Source organism: Homo sapiens, chromosome 11, assembly GCF_000001405.40.
Source record: "Homo sapiens chromosome 11, GRCh38.p14 Primary Assembly".
NCBI classification, from domain to species: domain Eukaryota; kingdom Metazoa; phylum Chordata; class Mammalia; order Primates; family Hominidae; genus Homo; species Homo sapiens.
This window is the reverse complement of record NC_000011.10, coordinates 2,318,588-2,335,939: the sequence shown is the minus strand read 5'-3', so window position 1 is coordinate 2,335,939 and position 17,352 is coordinate 2,318,588. Positions and strand designations below refer to the sequence as shown.

Sequence of the window (17,352 nt, the reverse complement as noted above, 5' to 3'; positions counted from 1 at the left end):
AGGCAATAACATCACCAAATAAGGAAGGGGCATAGGCTGTGAGCTGGAATATGTTGGTGAGGATGTCCAACAGTTACATAGGATAGAGCTTAACAAAGAGTTATTAGCACAAAGCAAGGAGGCTTGAAGAAAGTTAGTCTTTAAAAGAAACTGTTGAGGGTCTGAGGCAGCTAGTAGCCGGAGGGTCACCATGAAGTTCAATCCCTTCGTTACCTCGGACCGCAGTAAAAACCGCAAACGTTACTTCAATGCCCCCTCACACGTGCGCAGGAAGATCATGTCATCCCCGCTCTCCAAGGAGCTGCGGCAGAAGTACAATGTCCGCTCCATGCCCATCCGCAAGGACGACGAGGTCCAGGTAGTTCGAGGACACTACAAAGGTCAGCAAATTGGCAAGGTAATCCAGGTGTACAGAAAGAAATATGTCATCTACATCGAGCGGGTGCAGCGTGAGAAGGCCAACGGCACGACTGTCCACGTGGGCATTCACCCAAGCAAGGTGGTTATCACCAGGCTAAAACTGGACAAGGATCGGAAAAAAATTCTTGAACGCAAAGCCAAGTCTCAACAAGTTGGAAAAGAGAAAGGCAAATATAAAGAAGAACTTATTGAGAAAATGCAGGAATAAATAGAACCTGTTGTGCAACCACGGTTTAACCGGAGATTTTGAGGCTAGGGTGTGTTTCTTTCGAACTTTTCGGAATGTCTGGAACATTTCATTTCCTGTTTTGTTACCTGTGGCTCTGTAAATCTACTTTTGCAATTTTAAGTAATAATTTTATGAATAAAAATGGGAAATGCTTCCAAAAAAAAAAAAAAGAAACTGTTATTTCTAACACTTATGATTCATTCTTTAACAAGAAGGGGAACTTTGAAAGTGGAAACCTTTTATTTTCTTTTTTTTTTTTTTAAATAATTAGGAATATATTCAAGCAATTATGAGAACTTATACAAAAAAAGCTATAAACTCTACTGAGAGACATGAGAAAAAACATGAATCAGCGGAGAGAGAAGCTATTTTCCTTCATGGTAAGAATTATTATTACAAAACAAGACTTCTCCAGATTAGTACATAAATTTAACATAATTTCCACCTAAATACCAATGTAATTTTAATTTCTTTTGTAAATTACATGTGAAGTTGATCTGAGAAAAACTGTGAGAATGATAAAATATTGAAAAAGAAGGATGATAAGGGGAGCACATCCTGTCAGATGTTAAAAAGTATTATAAAGCTATAATTTTAATGTATGGTACTAGAACCAGAATAGTTCAATAGAACAAAATAAAGTCTAAAAGTAGACAATAATGTTGATAAGAATTTTCTATATAACAAAGGTGCAGGCAGGGCGCGGTGGCTCACACCTATAATCCCAGCACTTTGGAAGGCCTAGGCAGGCAGATCATGGGATCAGGAGTTTGAGACCAGTCTGGCCAACATGGTGAAACCCCATCTCAATAAAAACACAAAAATTAGCCGGGGGTGGTGGCACGCACCTGTAATCCCAGCTACTCAGGAAGCTGAGGTAGGAGAATCGCTTGAACCCAGGAGGCAGAGGTTGCAGTGAGCTGAGATTGTGCCATTGCACTCCAGCCTGGGTGACAGAGCGAAACTCGGTCTCAAAACAAACAAACAAACAAACAAAAACAAAGGTGCTATATTTCAGGAAGCCTAGTGGTAGGGCTGCCAAAAGTATAATGATAAAAAAAACATGCAGGATCCAATCTAGAAAGAAGGTTGAGACAAGAGCACAACTTTTAATACAAAATAAAAAGAATTAAGTGGCATATGGGACAAAAAATTAGGGAACTAAAATAATTCAAAGGAAAGAGAAAAAGTCTTGGTCATGTTTGCCAAGCTTTGAATATTAGACCTTGCTTTTTTCCCAGAGATTGTCAGTGCACCCTGGTTGTGCAATATCAACCAGGATTAGGCCGGTGTGGGAGCCACAGAAGCCACTCCACCACACTTTTAAGTCATTTCATTAGAGTCGCCTCAGAAGTCCTGGTGAGACAATCCTAGGAGTCCTCTTTGGCTGTCTTGCTTGATATTCTCAAGCAAGTCCATTCTGCTAGACGCCTGCATCTGGGTACTCCTCCCTTTTTAACTCCAGTCCCCACAGGGTCATTTAAGAAAATGTATGCATGTTTCTGATTCATAACTATATTATGATGATTATTCTTATAAACCCTTTTGACGTCTAAAAGCCTTAGAGCCACTCAACAGTCCTGTTTGGGCCAGTCTCCTGGAATATGAGATTCCTTCTGTATGGCCAGTGGTGCAGAATGGCTTTCAATGGAGAGAACAGTCTGGCAGTCTTAAGGCTTGGTGTGGTAAAGTCACTTGGATCCAGAGAAGGCATATGCACAGACACCAGCCCAGTCATCCCAAGGAGACAGCTTATCTTTCCCTAAGTATTTCTAAAAGGGTCTCCTGAGTAACTTTTTTTTTTTTTTTAATTTATTTTTTTATTGATAATTCTTGGGTGTTTCTCACAGAGGGGGATTTGGCAGGGTCATGGGACAATAGTGGAGGGAAGGTCAGCAGATAAACAAGTGAACAAAGGTCTCTGGTTTTCCTAGGCAGAGGACCCTGCGGCCTTCCGGCCTTCCGCAGTGTTTGTGTCCCTGATTACTTGAGATTAGGGATTGGTGATGACTCTTAACGAGCATGCTGCCTTCAAGCATCTGTTTAACAAAGCACATCTTGCACCACCCTTAATCCATTTAACCCTGAGTGGACACAGCACATGTTTCAGAGAGCACAGGTTTGGGGGTAAGGTCACAGATCAACAGGATCCCAAGGCAGAAGAATTTTTCTTAGTGCAGAACAAAATGAAAAGTCTCCCATGTCTACTTCTTTCTACACAGACACGGCAACCATCCGATTTCTCAATCTTTTCCCCACCTTTCCCACCTTTCTATTCCACAAAGCCGCCATTGTCATCCTGGCCCGTTCTCAATGAGCTGTTGGGCACACCTCCCAGACGGGCCCAGAGGGCAGAGGGGCTCCTCACTTCCCAGTAGGGGCGGCCGGGCAGAGGCGCCCCTCACCTCCCGGACGGGGCGGCTGGCCGGGCGGGGGGCTGACCCCCTGACCTCCCTCCCGGACGGGGCGGCTGGCCAGGCAGAGGGGCTCCTCACTTCCCAGTAGGGACGGCCGGGCAGAGGCGCCCCTCACCTCCCAGACGGGGCGGCTGGCCGGGCTGGGGGCTGACCCCCCCACCTCCCTCCCGGATGGGGCGACTGGCCGGGCAGGGGGCTGACCCCCCCCACCTCCCTCCCGGATGGGGCGACTGGCCGGGCGGGGGGCTGACCCCCCCCACCTCCCTCCCGGACGGGGTGGCTGCCGGGTGGAGACGCTCCTCACTTCCCAGATGGGGTGGCTGCCGGGCGGAGAGGCTCCTCACTTCTCAGACGGGGTGGTTGCCAGGCAGAGGGTCTCCTCACTTCTCAGACAGGGCGGCCGGGCAGAGACGCTCCTCACCTCCCAGACGGGGTCTCGGCCGGGCAGAGGCGCTCCTCACATCCCAGATGGGGCGGCGGGTCAGAGGCGCTCCCCACATCTCAGACGATGGGCGGCCGGGCAGAGACACTCCTCACTTCCTAGATGTGATGGCGGCTGGGAAGAGGCGCTCCTCACTTCCTAGATGGGATGGCGGCCGGGCGGAGACGCTCCTCACTTTCCAGACTGGGCAGCCAGGCAGAGGGGCTCCTCACATCCCAGACGATGGGCGGCCAGGCAGAGACACTCCTCACTTCCCAGACGGGGTGGCGGCCGGGCAGAGGCTGCAATCTCAGCACTTTGGGAGGCCAAGGCAGGCGGCTGGGAGGTGTAGGTTGTAGTGAGCCGAGATCACACCACTGCACTCCAGCCTGGGCACCATTGAGCACTGAGTGAACGAGAGTCCGTCTGCAATCCCGGCACCTCGGGAGGCCAAGGCTGGCGGATCACTCGCGGTTAGGGGCTGGAGACCGGCCCGGCCATCACAGCAAAATCCCGTCTCCACCAAAACCAGTCAGGCGTGGTGGCGCGTGCCTGCAATCGCAGGCACTCGGCAGGCTGAGGCAGGAGAATCAGGCAGGGAGGTTGCAGTGAGCCGAGATGGCAGCAGTACAGTCCAGCTTCGGCTCCGCATGAGAGGGAGACCGTGGGGAGAGGGAGAGGGAGACGGAGAGGGAGAAGGAGAGGGAGAGGGAGAGCGAAACCTTTTATTTTCTAGAGGGCCTCATCCCACCCACTGAAGGCCTGCATAGAACAAAATGGCTGAGTGGTGTCAGGGTTCTGAGCCCAAGCCTGCATGTATACATCCAGATGGCCTGAAGCAACTGAAGAACCACAAAAGAAGTGAAAGTAGACAGTTGCTGCCTTAACTGATGACATTCCACCATGGTGATTTGTTCCTGCCCCACCCTAACTAATCAATTGACCTTGTGAAATTCCTTCTCCTGGTCAATGAGTATCAGAAGGTCCCCACCGAGCACTTTGTAACCCCCCCGCCCCTGCCCACAAAAGAAAAACCCCCTTTAACTGTAATTTTCCACTACCTACCCAAATCCTATAAAACTGCCCCACCCCTATCTCCCTTTGCTGACTCCTTTTTTGGACCCAGTCTGCCTGCACCCAGGTGATTAAAAAGCTTCATTGCTCACACAAAACCTATTTGGTGGTCTCTTCACACAGAGGCGCGTGACAAATAAGAGGGAAGTCCTCTTACCTGGGTGAGCTGGGACATTGGTTTTTTCCTGTCTTCAAACTCAAACTGAAACATTGGCTCTCCTTGGGTCTTGAGCCTGCTGCCTTTCAGACGGGAGCTTACACCATCAGTCCTCCTGGGTCTCCAAGGTTCCCAACTACGGATCTTGGGACTGCTCAGCCTCTGTAATTGTGTGAGCCAAGTCCTTACAATAATCTCTCTCTGTGTGTATGTACACATCTTACTGACTCGGTTTCTCTGGAGAACCCTGACTGTTACTCAGCATCCTTGGACTTGTTCGAGTCTGACGTTGGCATGGGAGTTGGTTCCGGGGGAATTTACCTGCATGCTTGGAGCTGGATGTGCAGGGTTTAGACAAGACCACCTCATGTACATCTTCTCCAGCCCAATTCCTGTGTCCATCCCAGCTGGGACAAGCAACCCCACACCACGGCCCCTAGGCCCCTGACCTCCCCTGTCCAGTGAACTTCATCTGCCCCACTGTGCCCATCACCATCCCTGGGGTCTCTTTAATTTTGGGTTGCTTCCTCTCTGAGATTTAAAGTCCAAACCTTGCACCCCTTCCACACCTCCAGGCCCTGTGTGTTTGCTTTGCCCACCTGCTTTGCTGGGAGTGCTCTACGCAGCCGTACTGCATGCTTTCCTCACTGCACTTCTTTGCCTGCACAGCTGGGAACACCTGGTCCTTCACTTTAATCACACCCTTGCCAGTATCCTGAACTCCTATATAGTTGGAACAGCCTTTATTTATTTATTTATTTTGAGATGGAATCTGGCTCTGTCGCCCAGGCGGGAGCGTAGTGGTACGATCTCGGCTCACTGCAACCTCCACCTCCTGGGTTCAAGCAATTCTCCTGCCTCGGCCTCCTGAGTAGCTAGGACTATAGGCATGCACCACCACACCTGGCTAATTTTTGTATTTTTAATAGAGATGGGGTTTCATCATGTTGGCCAGGCTTGTCTCCAACTCCTGACTTCAAGTGATCCACCCGCCTCGATCCCCCTGTGTGCCCTTTCATTTTCTGCCATGTGAGGACACGGCAAGAAGGTCCTCTCAAGTAATCCCAAAGTGCTGGGATTACAGACATGAGCCACTGTGCCTGGCCAGGAACAGCCTTCAGATTGCCCTGGAGAGCTTTTTAGACGCAGATTGCTAGGCTCCACCCCAGCATCCTTAATTTGGGAGGCCTGGGCAGGGCCTGAGAATCTGCATTTCTACCGCATTCCCGGGTGATGCAGCTGGTCCAGGAACCATGCTTTGAAAGTAGGCTACGTTGCAGTTAACAAATACCCCCTGAGGTCTCGGGGTTATTTTTCACTTGCATATGGTGGTCAAGTGACTCTTCATCTTTGAGCTGACTTTGGGAACGTGTGTCCTGTAAGGTCACCTTGGAAAGGGAAGGGCGATTGGGAAGTAGCTTACGTTGCTTCCTCCCATATCCCACAGGTCAGAACTCGGTCACATGACCCTCATGCAACCACACTAACCATAGAGGTGACTGGGAAATGCAGTCTTTCCATTTGCCTAGGAGGAAGAAACAGTGTGGTGAACACATGGTATCGTCTGTTCCGCCATCCACCCCTCTGTTGACCTGCCAAAGTCCACCCAGTCACTACACCCTCTCCAGACCCAGCATCTCCGATGGATGAGCACATCAGGTTTGGATATGCCCTCTCTTGGTCCAGCACCCTATGAATTTAAACATTGAGTTATCTGTCCCCCTATGCTAGATTGTATCTGTGACCCCAGTCTCTCGCCCTTTCCTGTGCCCGAGGCCAGCCACGACTTGCTGTCTTGGGAATGCACCCAGCCAAGATCAGTCAAGCAGAGCCCAGACACATAAGCAGGAAAAGCTGACTGTTGTGCACCACGGAGACTGTGTAGATACGTGTTAATTTGCGTTTCTTCTTATGGCAGCACCCTCCTTCACAGAGCCTGCTTCTGTATTAGTCAGGACAGGCCAGGCTGTATTGTGGTAGCAGTCGGAACCCCCAAACCCAGCTGCTGCCAAGAGAGCAGGCACCGGGGGCCCGAGTGATGGGGACTTGGTGGAGCTGGAGCAGCAAACTTGCTAAAATCACTCCTGGTGACCTGGCAGGCTGAATACAAGAAGGCTCAGCCAGGAGCATAAGGGGCGAAGTGGGAAAACACCACATTGCGAGTTTTGTGTTAGGTCCCGCAACACGAGACGGAGACCAGCTTGAGAAAGAAGGCCCAGCTTACAAGCAGAGATGAAAGTGAACAGAGAGATGGATCCAGAAATTCAGAGCACCGCAAGGGCAGAAAAACCAACTGCTCCAAGAGTTAGGATTTTAACAAGCTTTGGGAGACAAAGGCCCAATAAAATGCCTGACTTGGACCGATCAACAGAAGACAAAGATGGGATTAAGGCCCATTCAAGTCTGAGAGCCTTCTGACAGCTGCCATTGAGTTGATGGAGAGGAATGAGAGCAAATACATCCTGAAACTTCAGTTTTCTGTGTGCATTAGTCATGGCTTACTGTGGTCTGAATATTTGTGTCCCTCCAAAATTCATGTTGAAAAGTCCCCAACGCAACGGTAGTGAGAGGTGGGGCCTTTGGAAGGCGATGAGGCCGTGGGGGCTCCGCCCTCCTGGGTGGGATCAGTGCTTTAGAAAAGGGCGAGGAATGAGCTCGGTGCCTGTGTGCCCTTTCCCTTTCTGCCATGTGAGGACGCGGCAAGAAGGTCCTCTCGAGACATCACCTGCAGTGCAGGATTCCCAGCCTCTGGAACTGTGAGCAATCAATTTCTATGACGTATAAATGACCTATTCTATGGTGCTTTGTTACAGCAGCACAAACAGGCTAAGACAGACATTGCTACCAGGAAGCGGGGCTGTTGCTGTAACAAACACCTGAAAATGTGGCAGCAGAGCCGGAACCGGGTCACGGGAGAGGCTGGAAACGTTTTGAAGTGCACGCTGGAAAAGCACACACTCCTGCGAACGGAGTTGGTGCTAAGGTGACTCCAGTGCAGGCCGAGGAGGGCAGGGCTGTAGAGAGAGCCTCTGGGCTGGTAGCAATGATCTCAGTGGTCGTGATCAGAATGCTGGTGGAGATCCACACAGTCAAAGCCATTCTCGTGAGGTCTTAGACAGACATGAGAACTATCTTATTAGAAACTGGGGGAGGGCTGTCCCTCTTACAAAGTGGCAAAGAACTTGGCTGAATTGTGTCCATGCCCTGGGGCTTTGTGGGAGGCAGAATTTAAAAGCGATGAACTAGAATATTTGTTGGAAGAAATCTCTAAGCAAAGCACTCCGGGTACTGCATGACTTCTGTTGACCGCTTATAGCAAAAGGCGAGAAAAGAGAAATGAGTTAAAGAATTGATAATAGAAAGGAAACAAAACTTAAAGACTTGGAAAACTCTTAGCCTGCCCACGTCAAGGGGAACATCACCCTCTGGGGCCCGTTTTGGGGTGGGGGGAGCGGGGAGGGATAGCATTAGGAGATATACCTAATGCTAAATGACGAGTTAATGGGTGCAGCACACCAGCATGGCACATGTATACATATGTAACAAACCTGCGCATTGTGCACATGTACCCTAAAACTTAAAGTATAATAAAAAAAAAAAAAAGAATAAGAAAGCATGTTCAGGAGAGAATAGCAAGGGTGTAGTCAAGCAAATTTGGATAAGGAGATTAGTACGGGTAGAAGGAGGTCAGAAGCTGCTCATCAAGACAATGGGAGAATGACCCCCAAGGCATTTCCGAGACCTTCCAGACTGTCATGCCCATCACAGGCTCAGGGTGCCGGGGTCTTGAGGGCAGAATGGCTTCAAAAGAAGGGCCCAGGGCCTCCATGAGACCTCGGGGCGTGCTGCCCAGACTTGCCTCAATCTCTGTTCCTCCCTGCAAGCTGGTGCATCACTCCTGGCCCACCCCCATGGAGGCTCACGTGGGTACAGGTGTTCCTTGGGCTGCCAGCCCAGAAGGCGCAGGCGGTAAACCTCGATGGTGTCAGCACGGTGCCAGCTCTGCAGATGCACGGAGTGCACGTGCTGTGGAGGAAAAGTTCCTGCTCCTGGATTCCACTGGGTGTCATGGAGACCCTGGGGCCCAGGCCGAGAACTGCTACAGGTTTGGGCCATGGAGAGTCCCCACAGGACAATGTGTAGTGGTGCCAAGGGAGCAGAGGACACTCGGGACCTGTAGAGCCACCAGCATGCACCACCAGCCTGGGAAAGCCACAGGCACACAAAGCCGTAGGAGTGGGGCCACCAGGAGCCTTGTCCCAGTGTGTCCAGAAGGTAGGACAAAGAGTCAAAGAAAATTATTCTTCAGCTTTAAGATTTAATTTTGTCCTGTTGGGTTTTGGATTTGGTCATGCTCAGTTAGTCCTTTCCTTCCCATTTCTCGTGTTTGGAATGGAATTTTCCATCCTTTGCCTCTGCCGCAGGGGCTGTAGGGCTGCAGCTGTCCATTTTCTGATAGCACCTGCATATCGAGCAGACCACCTGTAAGTATGGCCTGAGTCTTCTCTTCCCATGTCAATTGATGAGAGGGACCTCCCTGTGCAGCAACAGATGCAGGTGGGGAGAGAGAAGGCACCTGGAGCAGGAGTGGGGGCCACAGGCATTTGGGCCACTTCTTCACGTAACCTACTTTTGCCTTCAGGACCTGCTTGAGCCTGATCACAATACATCACTTTCATTCAAATGGAGCGCTGCTGTGCACGCCCAACTTTATAGCAACATGGGTCAGATAATCCCCAGATCATGATGGGCAGCTCAGGCCATGTGGTAACTTGGTGGCCCTTGGTCAAGTGTTTAGTTTCTATGAAGACCTAGACACAGGCTGATATGATTAGGCTTTGTGTCCCCACCCAAATCTCATCTTGAATTGTAATCCCCAGGTGTTAAGGGAGAGACCTGGCCGGAGGTGACTGGATCGTGGGGGCTGTTTCCTCCATGCTGTCCTCATGACAATGAGTGAGTTCTCACGAGATCTGATGGTTTTATAAGTTTTGGTAGTTCCTGTCTTGCTCATTCTTCTCCCACTGGCCGCCATGTAAAATGTGTCTGCTTTCCCTTCCGCCATGATTGTAAGTTTCCTGAGGCCTCCCCAGCCATGCAGAACAGTGAGTCAACTAACCCCCTTTTCTTTATAAATTACCCAGTCTCAGGTAATATCTTTATAGCAGTGTGAAACAGACTAATACACAGTCCAAAACCTGTTTCTCAAAACGGAGTGGTTATCTGTGGATGATGACAGGGCCTTGCTCCAAAACTGTAAGGGCCTGAGCTATGAGTCACCTACTGGGGCTTGGCAAAGGCTCTACACAGTGTCCCTGTCTGCCACTGACACCTCAGACTGGATCTGCTGGGTCATTGGCCCAGGTGGCAGAACAGCTTGCACAGAGCCTGGACCTGCTGCTGGGCCACATTCAAAACTAGCAGCTTTTCAAATCACTCAGTAAATGGGCCAGAGTCAGACACCTAAATGAGGAAGAACCTGTCTTCCTCACATCAAACGGGCTCACCTGGTGTCGTTCTCTTTTGATCGTGGGAGGGTTCAGTTGCAACAATCTATGTATCACCTTAGAGCAGGCCCCACAGCACTAGACTCCTAAAAATTTCACCGAGGTAGAAGGTTCTGAATTTTAGTTGGATTTATTTCCCACCCTCTGACACCAACAAGTATAGAATAATTGCTGCTTCTTGTGCCTTATGTCCAGTTAGCATAATGTCATCAGTGTAATGGGCCAGTGTGACATGCCGGGGAAGGGAAGGGTGATCCAGACCCCTGAGGATTACCTCTGACACAGGCTGGAGAGGCGAGAGGCCCCTGAGGTGGGACAGTGAGGGTGCATTGCTGGCCTGGCTTCTGCTGGGCCTTGTGGACAGGGGTGGAGAAGGACACATTCGCCAGATCAATAACTGCACACCAGGTAGCAAGAGATGAGCTAATTTGCTCAAGCAATGGAACCAAATCTGGCCCAGCAGCTGCAGTTGGAGTCAAGCTTAGGACAATCCCTTGTCATTCTCCAGGACCCGCCTGTCTTCCCTACTGGCCAAATAGGTGAGTGGAATGGGGCTGTGGTGGGGATCACTGCCCCTGCATCTTTCAGGTATTTGATGGTGGCACTAACCTCTGAAATTCCTCTGGAAATGCAGCTTTTGACTGACTATTATTGTATCGCTTTTGACTATTTTTCTAGGTAGAGGCACCTCTAATGGCTTCCAGTTGGCCCACAATAGTGGCCCTCACCCCACACGTCAGGAAACCAATGTGGGGACTCAGCCGGTGGCTGAGTACAGTTGTGCACAGCATGAGGATGCTTTGGTCAAGAACGGGTACATGTGTGATAGTGGTCCCATAAGATTATAGTGGAGCTGAAAAATTCCTATCACCTAATGATGTTGTAGCACAATGCATTTTGTATTAGTCCATCCTCACATTGCTAATAAAGACATACCCGAACTTGGGTAATTTATAAAGGAAAGAGGTTTAATTGACTCACAGTTAAGCATGGCTGGGGAGGCCTCAGGAAACTTACAATCATGGTGGAAGGGGGAGCAAACAGGTCTTTCTTCGCATGGCAGCAGCAAGGAGAAGTGCCAAATGAAAGGGGGAAAAACTCCTTATAAAACCATCAGATCTTGTGAGAACTCACTCACTATCACGAGAACAGCATGGGGGTAACCACCTCCATGATTCAATTACCTCCCACCGGGTCCCTTTCAGAACACATGGGGATTATGGGAATTACGATTCAAGATGAGATGTCGGTGGGGAAACAGCCAAACCGTATCAATTACTCCTGTGTTTTGTGCAATGCTGGTGTAAGTAAACCTGCCGTGCTACCAGTCATATAAAAATCTGGCACATATATTTATGCACAGCACACAGTACTTGACAATGATAACAAACAACTACGTTACTCGTTTATGTATTTACTATACTTTTTATTTAGAGTGTACTCCTTCTACTTATATATAAAACAAGTTAAATGTAAAACAACCTCAGGCAGTTTCTTCAGGAGGTATCCAGAAGAAGGCATTGCTATAACAGGAGATGACAGTTGCATGCATGTCACTGCCCATAAGACCTTCCGGTCACAAAACTGGTCAAGATGTGACAGTGAAAGACAGTGAAACTGATGATTCTGACCCTGTGCAGGCCGAGGCTATGTGTGTTTGTGTCTTAGTTTTTAACAAAAGAGCTTAAAAAGTAAAAAAAAAAAAAAAAAAAATTCCAGCTTTCAAGTTCAGGGGTACATGTGCAGGATGTGCAGGTTTGTTACATAGGTAAACATGTGCCATGGCGGTTTGCTGCACAGATCATTCCATCGCCCAGGTATTCAGCCCAGCATCCATTAGCTATTCTTCCTGATGCTCTCCCTCCTCCCACCCCCAACCCAACAACAGGTCCCACTGTGTGTTGTTTCCCCCCATGTGTCCTTGTGTTCTCATCATCTAGCTCCCACTTATAAGTGAGAACGTGCGGTATTTGGTTTTCTGTTCCTGTGTCAGTTTGCTGAAGATAATGGCCTCCAGCTCCATCCATGTCCCTGCAAAGGACATGAACTCGTTTCTTTTTATGGCTGCATAGTACTACATGGTGTATATGTACCACATTTTCTTTATCCAGTCTATCATTGATGAGCAGTTGGCTTGATTCCATGTCTTGGCTATTGTGAATTGTGCTGAAGTGAACATACACGTGCATGTGTCTTTATGGCAGAACAATTTATATTCCTTTGGGTATATACCTAGCAATGGGATTGCTGGGTAGAATGATATTTCTGCCTCTAGGTTTTTGAGGAATTATCACACTGTCTTCCACAATGGTTGAACTAATTTACACTCCTGCCAGTAGTGTAAAAGCATTCCTTTTTCTCCACAACCTCACCAGCATCTGTTATTTTTTGACTTTTTAATAATGGCCATTCTGACTGGTGTGGGATAGTATTTCATTGTGGTTTTCATTTGCATTTTGCTAATGGTCAGTGATGTTGAGCTTTTTTTCAAATGTTGGCCGCGTGTATGTCATCTTGTGAGAAGTATCTGCTCAAGTCCTTTGCCCACTTTTTTAATGGGTTTGTTTGTTTGTTTGTTTGTTTTCTTGTACATTTGTTTATGTTCCTTATAGACACTGGATATTAGACCTTTGTCAGATGCATAGGTTGCAAAAATTTTCTCCCATTCCTTAGGCTGTGTGTTTACTCTGTTTATAGTTTCTTTTGCTGTGCAGAAGCTCTTTAGTTTAATTAGATCCCATTTGTCAATTTTTGCTTATGTTGCAATTGCTTTTGGTGTCTTTGTTATGAAATCTTTGCCCATGCCTGTGTCTTGAATGGTATTGCCTAGGTTTTTGTCTAGGGTTTTTAAAGTTTTGGGTTTTACATTTACGTTTTTAATCCACCTTGAGTTGATTTTTATATATGGTGTAAGGAAGGGGTCCAGTTTCAATTTTCTGCATATGGCTAGCCAGTTCTCACAGCTCCATTTATTAAATAGGGAATCCTTTCCCCATTGCTTATTTTTGTCAGGTTTGTCAAAGATCAGATGGTTGCAGGTGTGCAGTTTTATTTCTGTGTTCTTTATTCTGTTCCATCAGTCTACGTATCTGTTCTTGTACCAGTGCCATGCTGTTTTGGTTATTGTATTCCTGTAGTATAGTTTGAAGTTGGGTAGCATGATGCCTTTAGCATTGTTCTTTTTGCTTAGGATTGCCTTGGCTATTCAGGCTCTTTTTTGATTCCATATGAATTTTAAAATAGTTTTTCTAATTCTGTGAAGAATGTCAATGGTAGTTTAATGGGAATAGCATTGAATCCATAAATTGCTTTGGGCGGTGAGGCCATTTTCATGATATTGATTCTTCCTATCCATGAGCATGGAATGTTTCTCCATTTGTTTGTGTTATCTCTGATTTCTTTGAGCAGTGATTTGTAGTTCTCCTTGAGGAGGTCCTTCACATCCCTTCTTAGCTGTATTCCTAAGTATTTTATTCTTTTTCTGGCAATTGTGAATGAGAGTTCATTTGGCTTGCCTGTTGTTGGTGTACAGGAATGCTAGCGATTTTTGCACATTGATTTTGTATCCTGAGACTTTGCTGATGTTGCTTATCAGCTTAAGAAGCTTTTGGGCTGAGATGATGGGGTTTTCTAGATATAGGATCATGTTATCTGCAAATAAAGATAGTTTGACTTCCTCTCTTCCTATTTGAATACTTTTTATTTCTTTCCCTTGTCTGATTGCCCTGGCCAGAACTTCCCACTACTATGTTAAATAGGAGTGGTGAGAGAGGACATCCTTGTCTTGCGCTGGTTTTCAAGGGGAACGCTTCCAGCTTTTGCCCATTCAGTACGATATTGGTTGTGGGTTTGTCATATATGGCTCTTATTATTTTGAGGTATGTTCCAAAAATATGGAATGCATCAAGAATTTGCGTGCCATCCTTGCGCAGGGAGGACCATGCTAATCTTCTCTGTATGGTTCCAATTTTAGTGTATGTGTGGCTGAAGCAAGCACCAGTTTTCTTCTTAATTGGAACAAATCAGCACAGGCATTTGTACTGGCAAGCAGCTATTTCGCCAGCAAACACCTGTTTTGTTGTTGTTTTTCAGTCTATCCCAACATATAGAAAACCATAAAGGTGGTTTGCTCTCACCTGGGAGGGACAGCAGCGTGGACCTGCCTTGGGATTACATGAATAACCTAGCTCTCAGCCACAATTTAGCCCATGTGGACCTTGACCGTCTCCCCAGCCCACAGGACATTGGGCTGATATGACCTGGAGGTGAGGAAGTTGTAGGTTGCTTTAACAAAAACCATGAGTGGCAGGGTGAGAAGGAAACCCTGTAAAAACAGAGACTCCTGCTTTCTCCTGAAGCTCTCTCTGGGGTCCAACGAAGCCGGGCATGCCTACTCCGTGGTGGTGAAGGACCAGTCCTGCACCCTGAGTCATCCGTGCGCAGCACTCTTTGGAGGAAACACAGCCTGCATTTGGGTGTGTGCTTCCCCTGTGTCCAGGCACGCCAGGGGTGGCCTGCTTTCTGCAGGAGGCACAGCCAGTGACGATGCCCATGTGGTCTTGTTCCTGTGTGGACTGAGCCACTCAGTTGTGACCCAGGGACCTAAGGGTCCTCTTGGGGTCTTGGCTGACCAAGGCGCCCTCGGAGCCTGAGCCAAGCCATGGTGGAGGCCACAGTGCCCGTCGAGGAGAGCAGAGTTTGCCCTCTGTGTCCAGGACCTCTTCTCGCTTGGATATACAGCGCTCGGTTTCCCCTGGGCCTGGGTGGAGACTGAGCCCTGTCTATGGGCATCAGGTGTAGTCTGACCTGGGTGTTGTTTGTCTGCTGAGTCCTGTAGCTGGACAGGCTGGGCATACTGTCAAGCGCATGGGGTACTGTACTCTAATAAGGTTCTTGGAACCCGTGGCAGACAGGCAGCCTCTGCCCCAAGGGAGCTGTTGCTGCCCTGAGGCAGACATGGAGGGGAGGGGAGCCGCCGTGGCCCAGCCACAGGGACTCAGCTTACCAAGCTCTTCCAGACACCCCTGCACTGCAGCCGATGCCCGATCAAGGTCAGCAGTGTGCCGTCCCGCCCCGCAGAAGCGCACCACATCTCATGGGAGACCGATTGGTCACCTGGCCAAGGGCTGACTGGCTTTGGACGCCTTCCTTCATGGAGAGGGTCTAGCTTTTCCCAGGGACGAAGGGAGGACATTTAGTGCGGAGGGGACAGAATCATTTAGGAGCACAGCTGGGAGATGCCACCGCAAGACTGCAGTGAAGTCCTATAGGATATGGCCCTGCTCCTTGATGCTCCCCCACTGGCACTATTTCCACTTCATGGGGGGCCACACCCCCCTATGGAGGTTAGAAGGGCCCCAACATTCCTTCTCTCTTGTTAGCCAAGCTACATTAGGGCCTCAGCCTAGGCTGGGCCAACTTGGTGTTCGACCCGGGACTTAGAACCTTCAACAAATTGTGCAAACATTCAGGGACATCTTCCAGCTGTGGTCTTAAATGATCCGGTTCCCCTCTCCTTGCTAACTGTCCTGTCTTCATCCCTGGACCGTGCAACTATGAGATGATGGGAAAGATGACTGCACTTAACCCTTCTTGATCTGGACCCACTCCCCTCCACTAGCACTGCTTCCTCCGGCACCGGCACTTTCCTTCCCAGCCTACTGCCTGCTCCTGCACGTACTGCTGTTTCCAGCCAAGGCATCGCCTTTACAGCCAAAGGACAGGGCAGTGGGGAGACCCCATGGGATTCACTAGGGTTCCATGTACCCTGTCCCTCCACAGGACCCACCCCTGTGGGATGGTGATCTGGCTTCTCAGGACCACTCAGGATTATTTAGGAGCTCAGCTGGAAGATGCCACCACAAGACTGCAGAGAGTCCTACAGCATATGACCCTGGACCCTGGTGAATGGTGCCGTTCCCCTAAACCAGAATCCACAGGCCGGGGGCCTACGGGTGAGAGTGAGGGCAGCACTTATGGTTGGAACATTCACAAAAGTTTACCTCTTGGCCCTGTTAGTCCTTACTCTTCTAGTTTGGAGATTTATTTTAATTTATTTATTTTATTTATTAGCATTTATTTATTTAGTTAGTCATATATGTGTATATATGTATACACACACACACACACACACACACACACACACACATATATATATATATATTAAATTTTTTTTTTTTTTTGAGATGGTGTCTTGCTCTGTCACCCAGGCCGGAGTGCAGTGGCGCAATCTTGGCTCACTGCACCCTCCACCTCCTGACTTCAAGTGATTCTTCTGCCTCAGCCTCCTGAGTAGCTGGAATTACAGGCACCCACCACCATGCCCAGCTAATTTTTTTGTACTTTATTTATTTTTATTATTTATTTATTTATTTGAGATGGAGTTTTGCTCTTGTCACCCAGGCTGGGGTGCAATGGTGCGATCTCGGCTCACTGCAACCTCTGCCTCCTAAGTTCAAGCGATTCTCCCGCCTCAGCCTGCTCAGTAGCTGGGATTACAGACGCCCGCCACCACACCTGGCTAATTTTTTTTGTATTTTTAGTAGAGATGGGGTTTCACTATGTTGGCCAGGCTGGCTTTGAACTCCTGACCTCAAGAGATCTGCCTGCCTCGGCCTCCCAGAGTGCTAGGATTACAGGCGTGAGCCACTGCCCCCCGCCTATTTGTTTATATTTTGAGACAGGGTCTCACTCTGTCACCCAGGCTGGAGTGCGGTACCGTGATCATGGCTCACTGCAGCCTCGACATCCTGGGCTCAAGAGATCCTCCCACCTCAGCCCCCTGAGTGGCTGGGACCACAGGTGTGTGCCACCATGCCTGGCTAATGTTTTCTTTTTGTTGTTGTTGTAGAAACAAGATCTTGCCATGTTGCCCAGGCTGGTCTCAAACTCCTGGCTTCAAGCAGTCTCCTGCCTCGGCCTCCCAAAGTGTTGGGATTACAGGATTGTTGGTGGGAGATGGGGCCACACACCCTCTATGGAAGTTAGAAGGGCCTTGACATTCCTTCTCTTTTGTCGGCTTCATTAGGACCTTGGCCTAGGCTGGGCCAACTTGGCGTTCCACCCAGGACTTAGAATTTTGAGCAAATTGTGCAAACATTTAGGGACCATTAGAGCTAATTCGTCAT

The 17,352-nt window shown here is 48.7% G+C and overlaps 1 long non-coding RNA gene and 2 pseudogenes across 1 annotated transcript in view, besides 1 other annotated feature; 2 read left to right on the top strand and 1 right to left on the bottom strand.

The window, feature by feature from the left end:
• Positions 1-7,191, top strand: part of CD81-AS1 (CD81 antisense RNA 1) — a 49,244-nt gene extending 42,053 nt beyond the window's left edge. Inside the window, exons 2-3 of the long non-coding RNA NR_108080.1 lie at positions 6,166-6,377; positions 6,637-7,191. This is a non-coding gene — a long non-coding RNA (CD81 antisense RNA 1). The remainder of the gene's footprint in view (positions 1-6,165; positions 6,378-6,636) is intronic.
• RPL26P30 (ribosomal protein L26 pseudogene 30) lies at positions 176-629 on the top strand (annotated as a pseudogene).
• Positions 6,860-7,361: an enhancer, noted in NCBI's record as "NANOG hESC enhancer chr11:2349809-2350310 (GRCh37/hg19 assembly coordinates)". NCBI's record gives its function as "activates a minimal SCP1, AML or CMV promoter by ChIP-STARR-seq in primed H9 embryonic stem cells {active_cell/tissue: H9 hESC(primed)}" and the evidence as "EXISTENCE:reporter gene assay evidence [ECO:0000049][PMID:30033119]".
• Positions 14,113-14,222, bottom strand: RNU6-878P (RNA, U6 small nuclear 878, pseudogene; annotated as a pseudogene).